At 38.2% G+C, this 11,504-nt stretch overlaps 1 annotated feature.

Moving 5' to 3' along the window:
• Window positions 8,245-9,444: an enhancer, noted in NCBI's record as "CDK7 strongly-dependent group 2 enhancer chr6:164489884-164491083 (GRCh37/hg19 assembly coordinates)". NCBI's record gives its function as "activates an origin of replication core promoter dependent on BRD2, BRD4, P300/CBP, MED14 and CDK7 cofactors, with strong dependence on CDK7, by STARR-seq in HCT116 cells {active_cell/tissue: HCT116}" and the evidence as "EXISTENCE:reporter gene assay evidence [ECO:0000049][PMID:35650434]".

Below are 11,504 nucleotides of genomic sequence, written 5' to 3'. Positions count from 1 at the left end.
ATTACCTTGTCAGGGATGCAGGACACAAGGAGATTCAAAATGCTGCAAATGTACAAGACAGCGGCTTAAAATCAGAATCCCAAAGAGGAAGGCATCTCCCACTTGGACCTGAAGATATGCCAAACAGGATTTGAGTTGAGCCTTCACAAAACAGTAGGAATTTGATAGAGAAATAAGAAAGGACTCCATTCCTGAATCCAGGCAGGGACTGAGCTAAGGCCAGCAGAAGAGGAGAAAGCATGCTTTAGGACACGAAACCCATCAGTTTCAGGGGAGTGAGGGTTCCTGTGTGAGGACACTGGAGTGTCAAGCCAGAAAAGGAAGTGGAAGGGAATCAGGAGTCCCTCAAGCTTTGGACTTCATTTTGTAGGAGATAATGGGATCAAAGTAGAATGTGACATTTCAGGATGGTCAAATTTTAAAATGTACATTTATTTATTTGCTTGTTTACTTATTTGTGTATGTGTCTTTTATTTTTGTGGAAGTGTGCTCATATATTAGGCCGGCTTGCCTGATCAGCTCCCAAGGAAGCCACCAGTTCCATCAGGTGCAGCTGCCCTGTCCACCTACACTCACAAAAACCCTGAGACCAGGAAGAAACCAGGGTCATTTTTTCCCATATGTTCAGAAAGGGACACTGTAAACATGTTCAGTGTTGCTCTAGATGTTCTTGTTTTATGAGACCTACATCTACCTACATTTTCATTCCTTCCTAAACCATAATTTTTATTTATTTACAATCTTGATTCACTTTAGTTTTATTGGTTTTGTTATGTGGATATGTGTGTGTACATGTGTGTTACATATATAAGCATTTTCATATGTGCATATTCAAAATCAAATGCATTAACTGTCTCCTTCTGAGCCTCTTCTTCTTTGGGTACGCACAAAGCCCGGTAATACTTCCCCACTAGTTATGGTGTCATAAATTATGGTGTCATAACTAGTGAAGGCAAATGGGAAAGTATAACTAGTTTCATTAAACTAGTTATACTGAACTAGCATAACTAGTTTCACTAAACTACTTATACTGAACTAGCATAACTGGTTTCACTAAACTACTTATACTGAACTAGCATAACTGGTTTCACCAAACTACTTATACTGAACTAGCATAACTGGTTTCACCAAACTAGTTAGACTGAACTAGCATAACTGGTTTCACCAAACTAGTTAGACTGAACTAGCATAACTGGTTTCACTAAACTAGTTAGACTGAACTAGCATAACTGGTTTCACCAAACTAGTTAGACTGAACTAGCATAACTGGTTTCACTGAACTAGCATAACTAGTTTCACTGAACTAGCATAACTAGTTTCACTAAGCTAGTTATACTGAACTAGCATAACTGGTTTCACTAAACTAGTTAGACTGAACTAGCATAACTGGTTTCACTGAACTACTTATACTGAACTAGCGTAACTGGTTTCACTGAACTACTTATACTGAACTAGCATAACTGGTTTCACTGAACTAGCGTAACTGGTTTCACTGAGCTAGTTATACTGAACTAGCGTAACTGGTTTCACTGAGCTAGTTATACTGAACTAGCGTAACTGGTTTCACTGAGCTAGTTATACTGAACTAGCGTAACTGGTTTCACTGAGCTAGTTATACTGAACTAGCGTAACTGGTTTCACTGAGCTAGTTATACTGAACTAGCGTAACTGGTTTCACTGAGCTAGTTATACTGAACTAGCGTAACTGGTTTCACTGAGCTAGTTATACTGAACTAGCGTAACTGGTTTCACTGAGCTAGTTATACTGAACTAGCGTAACTGGTTTCACTGAGCTAGTTATACTGAACTAGCGTAACTGGTTTCACTGAGCTAGTTATACTGAACTAGCATAACTGGTTAAACTTAAGTGAATTAAGTTTATTGAAACTAGTTATACTTTCCCACCTTTTGCATTCTCCACCTTGCTTTGATGTTGCCCTTCAGGCGGGAATGCTGTACCTGTGTCCTCCCATCACCCACTCCCTCTTTGCATATCTAAATGTGCCTCATCTTTTAAGGATTAACTCAAAAGGCAACTTCCTCATGAAGCTCAACTCTAAACGGAAAGTAATTGTCCCCTCCCCCAAACTCCCTAATCACTAAACACCACCCCTCTGATCATGCTTAAAATTCTGCTTGATGTTATAAACGGTCACATCTACACCATTTCACAGCTACACGCTAAGAGCTCCCAGTGCCACCATGCACCCCGGCATGCACGCTATTCTGCCAGGAAAGTCCCATGAGAGCTTGGGCATTGTTGATTTCCTTTACTGCTGTATCTCATTGTCCATGATAGTTCTTGGCACACTAGGGGCTCAAATATGTTTTTGATTGTGTGAATAAACAATTTAATGAAAGAATAAAGGAGGATTGATATACATTTAATTCAGCTTTACAATCCTCCCAGTAGACAATAGAGTGATTTTTTTTACTTGAGATCCAACAAATCAATAATTTTTGAATGCATAAATTCTTTAATAGAAATATACTTATGCAAATCAAGGCCAAAAGTTTAATTTAGAATTTTCCAATTAATTTATTGCTTCTCTGTTGTGACCTCTGGATGGTAAGCTTGGTTAATACTAAAAAAAAGTCCTGAATACCTCAGAATGGAAAATATTCTCTCTAATCCATTGGCAGCAGACTGTTCTGAGAATTTATTAGACACAAGTAGAAGTCCATTGATAAACCACCTGAATAAGTCTGATGCCTAATAGTTGTGAGAAATATTGTTATAAAAGGAAGACCTTAGTTAGCAAAATCTTCTATTTTGAAAACTAGAAAACCTCCTTTTGCTAACAAATAAGCTTATTCTAATGCAAAATATAGATTGGGACTTCTTACCGTAATGTTTCCCAACCTGGCCTGATCATAAAAATTACCAAAAAAATAAAAAATAAATAAAAAAATAAAGAGTGTGTGAAAAATACAGATTCAGCAAATCAAATTCAGCAATATAGAAAAAGAATTATACACCATGACCAAGTGTAATTCCAGGTATACAAGGCTGGTTCAACATTCAAAAATCAAGAAATATATGTAATCATATCAAAAGGATAAAGAAGAAAACTCTCATAATTATATAGACACAGAAAAAAGCATCTGACAAAATCTAACACCCATTCACAAAATGAAAAAAAAATCTCATAAAACTAATAGAGGGAAACTTTCTTAATTGGATAAAGAGCATTTACAAAAAAATCTATATTTGAGATCATACTTAATGGCAAATGACTGAACAACTTCACCCTGTGATCAAGAGAAGAGCAAGACCTTTGCCCTCACGACACTTATTCAACTTAGGATTTGAAGTTCTAGCCAATATAATAATTAAAGGAAAAGAAATAAAAAGCATACACATTTAAAGGAAAAAAACTAAGTTGTCCCTATTTGCAGATAAAAATTGTTTATATAGAAAATTCAAATGAATCTACCAATTGTCAGAAATTAGAAATTATCAGTGAGTTCAGTAGGGTTGCACAATGCAAGATCAGCCCACAAAAATCAGTTGCATCTCTATATACTAACAACAAATATGTAGAAACCATATTAAAAATACAATCCTATTTTCTCCAAACAAAATTAAATTCTTAGGTATAAACTTTAAAAAATATGCAGGATCTGTGTGCTGAAAATTATGCTAATAAAAGCAATCAAAGAAGGCATAAATCAATAAAAGCGCAAATTATGGTGTGGATTGAAAGACAAAATAGGAAACATGTCAATTCTCTCCAAATTGACCTATAGTTTTAATGCTATTTTTGTCAATTTCCCTTGAAGGACTGTTTGCGGACCCTAGACAAGCTAATTCTAAAATTTATATGGAAAGGCAAAGGCAAAATTTGCAAACACAAATGAAGTAGGAGGAATCATTCTACCAGATTTCAGGGCTTACTGTATAGCTGCAGTAATCAAGACAGTGTGGGGCGTGGCAGGGGCCAGACACATGGATCCATGAAACAGAATAGAGACCCCAGAAATAGACACACACGAATATGTCCAACTGATTTTTGACAACCAACTGATTTTGGCAAAAGAAGAGAAAGCAATCCAGTTGCTATGATTTGCATGTCCCCACCAAGACGCAGGTTGAAATTTAATTGCCATTTTAACAGTATTAAGAGGCACCGTCTTTAAAAGGTGGTTAGGTCATGAGAGCTCTGCCCTCAAGAAGGGATTATTACCTTAACCTCAAGAATGAGTTCGTTATCATGGGAGGGGTTCCTAATAAAAAGGATGAACTCAGCCCACTTCCTTCTCTGTCTCTTTACTCTCCCGTCCTTCTGCTTGAGATAATGCAGCAAGAAGGCCCTTGCCAGATGCTGGCAACATGCTCTTGGACTTCCCAGCCCCCTAAAAGTTTATTTGCTAGCCAAATAAACTTCTTTTCTTTATAAACTCCCCAGTCTGTGGTATTCTGTTACAGCAGCAGAAAACATAGGAAGTCAATAGAAGAAGGATAAAAACCAGTAGAAGAAGGATAGTCTTTTCAGTAACTGACACTGTAACAATTAAATATTACAGGCAAAAAAAAAAAAAACAAATTTAAACCTAAAGTTCACACTTTATACAAAATGTAACTCATAATAGATGATGAGCTTTAAATATAAAATAAAAAACTATAAAACTTTGAAAAAATATGAGAAAATCTCCAGGACCAAAGACCAAAAAAAGAGTTACTCACCTAACACCAAAAGCATGCATTCTAAAAGAAAATTTTAATAAACTGGACCTGATTACCAAAACTCTTGCTCTGTGAAAGGCTTCATTAAGAGGATTACCAGACATGCTACAGACTGGTAAAAATATTTACAAACTGCATATCTGACATAGAACTACTATCTAGAACAGAAAGACCCCTCAAGCCTTAACAGTAAAAATAAACAATGCAATTAGACCATTGGCAAAAGATATTTCACTAAATAGATATTTTAGAGAAGAGAAAATACAGATGGCAAATATGCACTTGAAAAGATGTTCAATATTACTAGCCATTCAGGAAATGCAAATTAAAACCAAAATGAGGTATCACTAGACACCTATCAGAATTAAGAAATAGAAAAAACACCAAATGTTGGCAAGGAGGCAGAGAAACTAGATAACTCATACATACATTGCTGGTGGGAATGTAAAATGCCACAGCCATTCCAGAAATCAGAGTGGCAGTTTCTTAAAAGGGTGAACATGCAACTAACATATGACCCAGCAATAGCATTGTGCAATTATCTTTGATAAATGGCAACTTATGTTCATCCATAGCCCTAACTTGGAAACACTGGAGATATCCTTCTCAAGGTGAATAATTAAACCGACTGTGGTACAACCATACCATAGAATATCACTTGGTAATAAAAATGAATTAATAGGGTTTGGCTGTGTCCCCACCCAAAGCTGATCTTGAATTGTAGTTCCCATAATTCCCACATTTGGTGGGAGGAATCTGGCGGGAGGTAATGGAATCATAGGGGCAGTTTCTCCCTGATAGTAAGCTCTCACAAGATCTGATGGTTTTATAAGAGGCTTCCTTCTTCCCTCAGCTCTTAACTCGTCTCTCTCCTCCTGCCATGTGAAGAAGGACATGTTTGCTTCCCTTTATACCATGACTATAAGCTTCCTGAGGCCTCCCAAGCCATGTGGAACTGTGAGTCAATTAAACCTCTCTCCTTTATAAATTGCCCAGTCTTGGGTATGTCTTCATAGCAAAGTAAGAATGAACTAATACAGGAATGAACTATTAATACATGCAGTGACTTGGGTGAACCTCCAGAGAGTTATGCTAAGTGAAATTAGCCAATCCCAAAAAGTTACATAGGGTGTTATTACATCATAGCACATTCTTGAAATGATGAAATAACAGAGATAGGAAACGGGTTAGCAATTGGCAAGATTAGGGACAGAGGAGGGAAAGAAAGGTGAAAGTGGCTATAAAAAGATCCCAGGAGAGAGCCCTGTGGTAATAGAACAGTTCTGTACCTTGTCTGTGGTGACAGATACACAGATCTCAAAATGTGATAAAATTGCATAGAACTAAATGCACACACACACACACGGTGTGCATATGAAACTGGTGAAATCTGGAAAAGGGCAGTGTGTTGCACCAAGGTCAGTTTCCTGGTTGTGATACTGTACTGTAGTTATATAAGATGTTACCACTGGAGAAACAGGTAAAGGGAATAAAGGACCACTCTGTACTTTCTTGCAACTGAATGTGAATTTACAATTATCTCCAAGATAAAAGTGTAGTAAATACAAATTCACTGGCCCCTTCCCTGGAAGTCAAATTTAATAGGTCTGGAGGGGAGGGAGCCCAGTACTCTGTATAGTTAACAAGCACTCTGGGGGATTCTGATGGCAAGGCAAGTCCCAAGAGCATTGCTGGAGGCTCTCCTAGTTCTTCACTTTAGACTTTCTGGCAGGGCTGTTAAACTTGACCAGGATGCTGAATCTATGGGTTATGACATAAGAATTCTTCACAAGGTCATTTTTACCTCATAAACAAGCATATCAACTTCATTCTAATAAAAGGAAAGTGTTGGCACTATGTCTAATAGCCCAAACCCAGTAAAGGAGAAAAGCAGTCTTTTATTTCACTGAAAGGCTTTTTCGCAGTAGAACCTTAGAAACAACACTATTTCACAGACTTATCGCTGTGGTATATTATGGTATATGGCAAAAAGCTTCAGTATATTTTCTTGAGTTCTATTCCAGGCTGAAAGTTACCAATCACCCCTCATCTACTGGTACCCTGAACTTTGGGAGGAAAGTCTGTCTTTGGAAACACTGCATGAGATTTATACCTTAGGAGCTATGCTTTCACTCATCCACTAAAATCCATACTATGTAGAAACTGTTATGATATTCAAGACATCTGCACACTACATGTCATTAGGTTCAGCACCCTTGTGGAACAGGTTAAGTCTTTTGGTGGAAGCACAAGCTAATGAGGCAAGGTGATGGACAGATTCCCCACAGGGCTGAAAGAGCTTTTCTCAGCAGCACAGCACAGCCTGGACTCCTGACCCAGCCCACATGGCTCAAGAGGAGCCTTGTAGCTTAACCATTTCTGTGTTGTCTCTCCTCTTCCCCTGGATGGGAGCCCCTTGAAGGTAGGGACTGCTGGGGTTCCTCTCTCCATCCCAGTACCCAGGATCCCAGGTAGATGCTCAGTGTTGCTTGTAAATGAGTACAAATGAATACATCAGTTGGAGTACGTGTGGAATAGCAATTCTGAGTATATGCCCAGAGAGCCACTCATAAGGGGAAGACAAGTGACTTACTCTTTATCCATGCAGTAAGCAGAAGCATATTTGTCAGTGTGACCTCATTTACTGTCCCTACAGCAGAAACACTCCTAAGACTCTCCCCCAACAAAACATATTCAGGTTTCTGTCTCAAAAAATTCATATTTTGGGTCAAAAACTATTCTGTTCATGATAGTAGCATGAAAACAGTCATGCTTAAATGTTGATTATTTCATTCTTCACATATGTTTTCAAGCAATCTTAAATAGGCCTTTAAGTAAACATGGTCTCAAAGAATTGATTTCAAATTGTACGATAGGAATTGGAAGAGGAAAATGACAATGGACGTGGCATTTTACAACCTCATCTGCAACAGTTACAGGTCTAAATTCAATAGCGAGTCCCTCTCCATTTGTATATTGTAATGGGTACACCTGAAAAAGGCAGCAAGAAAAAGAAATTAAAGTCTATTAATAACTAACGCATAGGTTTTTAATGTAGGACATGGGCTTTCAGGATCTTACATTAAAAAAACACACTTCCTCAATGCTTCAAATTCTCTAAACTTCTTACATTACAATTTTATTCTATGAAAAGAAACCTTACTTTTAGTACCTGAGTTCTCAAAATATTTTAAAAATTCATACAAATTTCTAAAGAAAGGTATTAAAGAAAAACTGTTTTCTCTGTACAAGAATAAAATCGTAGGCATGTTTCTTTCCAACTTTTCACACTTGCTTTTTATTTTTGTCTTTTGTACTTTTGCCAACAAAGGAGAAGCTCTTTCTGCAACTGCTCGTCTTTCTACTACAACCAGGTTAGCCCTACGGTGCCACTTTTTAAAATATCAACTGACCGGTATTGAGTGCTGATAAGTTGTGCGGTATTGCTTTGACACTACTTCTTCTGCAAAATTAAGCTAATTCTTTAAAAATTAAATATCAAGTGGTTCATAATAGGGTACAATTATTAAAACAAGCAGTTTGTTGATTATTTCTTCCTGCTTCCATGGAAGAATCAAAGTATTCCAAATAGAAAGCTCTAATTCTCATGCCCCTTATGTAAAAAGCTCCTGCGGCCAGTAAAGGGTTACTGACCCAGAACAAACACATTAATAAGCTTTAGTAATTATATTTGGGTCATTTTATTTTAAACCATGAAATCAAAAGCTCTGTTCACATTAGTGCATGAGTTGCTGTAACTAGCCACTGGGACTTCCTTGATACACAAGCCATCTGTGAATGTGCTCAGAATTTTTTCATTCTAGACACAAAAGTTTCATCTGTCTCCTTTTTAACCTACTAGTCATCTTGTTCCCTCTCCAGGGCCATACCCCGACAAAACCTCTCAACATTCCTTTTGCAGATAATTGGGAGATTTCATTGGGATGAACAAAAAGGAAAGAAGCTTCTGATGCGTTGGCATCCACTGTCTTTCAATTAAACCATTCAGCGAGAGGCCAAGGCCTACCCCATCCTGTGCAGTCAGGAATGGCTGGAGCATCGTCGGAAACCGTGGGCGCTGGGCCAGGGATGCCGGGGAATGACATCATTTCATTGTGTTCGCATGACCATGGAAGGCCTGTGTTACACACACCGGATGAAGTCACCAGAATGCTAGGGAACAGAGAAAGCCAGGGGTAAGAATAAAGAAACCCTTGGCAAAGGCTTGGGAGACAGGAAGGTTGAAAAGAGGGGCAGAGAGGAGTCTGTGTTTATTGTCAGTGGTCTGGCATTCTGGGTTTGAAAATAACATCTGCTTCACTCGCTGCCTTCCCTCCACCTACCCACGGGCTCTGGGACCCAGGAACCTCGACGGAGCAGAAACCCGTAGGCGCCATCGCTGGGATATTTGCCAGTTACAGCTCATTTTTCTCCATGTCAGGATACAAAAAAGAGAATGGAAGAAGGGAGCTTGATACACATATATCTTAAAACTCTTATTTTGTCAAAAAAATGTACAGTTTTAGCAGCGGCACTTTTTTAAAAAAGAAATGTTATTTTTCTCACAATCCTTCTTATATTCCTGGAAATATTTTCTATATTCCTCAAAAGGCAAATATTTACTTAACTCAGGTTTTATAAACTGGAAATAGATTGCCTAATAATGAAGAAAATAAGAATATACAAATGTATGAATATGAAATATATATGAGATATTCATATCTATATGGAAGAAGACCAAAAGTGTATTAATAATGAAGCAAATAAGGATGTACATACATATATATATGGAAACAAAAAGTAGATTAATTTTGCAGAGTATAATTTTACCCTTACATACTCCAGTGTGTATTATGCAACAATAGGAAAATCTTTTTCCATAACCACAGTGGAGTTCTCCACTTGAGTCACTTTCACGTTGATACAGCACAGTATCTGATCCACATCTGTATTCCATTTTGCAGTTGCCCGATAACGTCCTTTATAACTTCTGTTCCCTCCAGGACAGGATCCAGCCTAGAGTCAGATACTGCATTTAGTTGTCACGCATCTTCAGTCTCCTTTTATCTAGAACATTTCCTCAGCCTTTTTCTTTTACAACGTTGAAACTGTTGAAGAATATCGTGCCCCTCCCCTTTTGTTAGTAGGCAGGTCCTCACTTTGGGTTTGTCTGTTGCTTCATCGTGATTGGATTCAGGGAGTGCATTCTTAGCTGAAACACTGCAGAGGTGACGGTGCGTCCGGGGAGTTACACCTGGAAGCACGCAGTGCTCCTCTCTTCCTCATCTATGGTGTTAATTTTGATCGCTCAACCAAGGTGTTGTCCAATTTCTCCACCTCATTATTTTTTGAACTGAACAAGCAGATTGTGAGGAGATATTTTGAGCTCCTCGTCAAAATTTCCTCTTAAATTTGCCATCCACTGATGATTCTTGTCTGATCCAATTTTTATTCTAACACACGCAAAACTCCAGCACTGTCTCCACATTTCCCACATGGCCTGCCACTGTGAGGAAGACCTCGCCCTTCTCCCTTATTTGTTTATTTGTTTACCCACTTATTTATCTATTACTGGATTGCTCTTGTGATCTTGGTGCTCAAATGCGCATACGGTGCTGAAATAAATTTATAGTAACTTTGTGCTTTAGTTTTTAAAAATAATTAAATTACATATGTGCACATATATACATATCCACATAAAGTGTGTGTGCATGCACATGCATGCGTGTGTGTGCATGCACATGCATGCATGTGTGTGTGCATCAACCTAAGGGCCACAAAGCAACACAAAAAGAAATTCATATCATGTGACCCACATGCTTAAAAAATTATTAATAACTCACTGGGTCTTATAAATGGCATTCTACCAATTTTGAAAATGTATGTTGGCATAAGCAAAACACATTGAGATTATTACCAACCTAAACAATCCCTAGTCTGCACAAAATACAAAGAACTGTGGTAAAATGAAATGGCGACTAGTCCATCTTCCACTGTGGGCCATGGAGGACGCTTCTGGGAAAGACATTAAAATCTCCATAATTATTATTTAACATGTATTCGGCACCATAAACGTACACAGAGAAGTGTGATAAATGAAGCTGTGCCCCATCAGTAACAGTGTCTGCCCTGAGGAGTTGAGAGCCTGGAAAGATGGCATTCATACGCCTAATTGGGCAGTCCTGCACCCTAGGGAGAAATATCTTCTTGAAAGGATATGTTGCTTTCATGATACATTTAGGAGCCTATAGGTGAATTATATAAATTACTCCTTTTATAAATTACTCTTCAACATGATTATTGAAATAGCATAAATAAAAAAGAAATTTACCAACACAGCCTAGTGAGAAAGGTAATCTGTGTTATCAAGTAACCCTCAGAGGTTTAAAACTGCCAAACTGAACCCCTTCGCCTGCTCCTGTACCCCAAGGGCAGGCTGAGTTAACAAACCCTGTTGATTTATGTATCCAGCTGCAGAGAGGCCAAATCTCTGCTTTCCCCTGTGCTCCACATTAATGAACAGGGATGGAGCAGTGAGATGAAAATCAGGAATTGGAAGCACACCAGTGACTGAGTAAACTTAGGTGAATGTGCGACCCTTCCTGAGCCTGTCTCTGAAACACTACCAGTAGCCCTCAGCCCCTCTCTGTATCAAAACTTGATTTATGTGAATAGCTCAAGTCTGCCTTTTCTATATAATTTGAAAAGCATGCGTACTTAATAAAGTTTTGGGAATTTCATTCGGAACATCATCCCAAAACTTTGGTAACGCTTGGCTTTTACCCCATTTACTTTAATATAAGGAAGAGAACCGCTT

The sequence above is a fragment of the Homo sapiens genome, chromosome 6 (genome assembly GCF_000001405.40).
Source record: "Homo sapiens chromosome 6, GRCh38.p14 Primary Assembly".
In the NCBI taxonomy this organism is placed as follows: Eukaryota; Metazoa; Chordata; class Mammalia; order Primates; family Hominidae; genus Homo; species Homo sapiens.
The sequence above is the reverse complement of the archived record's forward strand: the minus strand, read 5'-3'. Positions and strand labels throughout refer to the sequence as shown.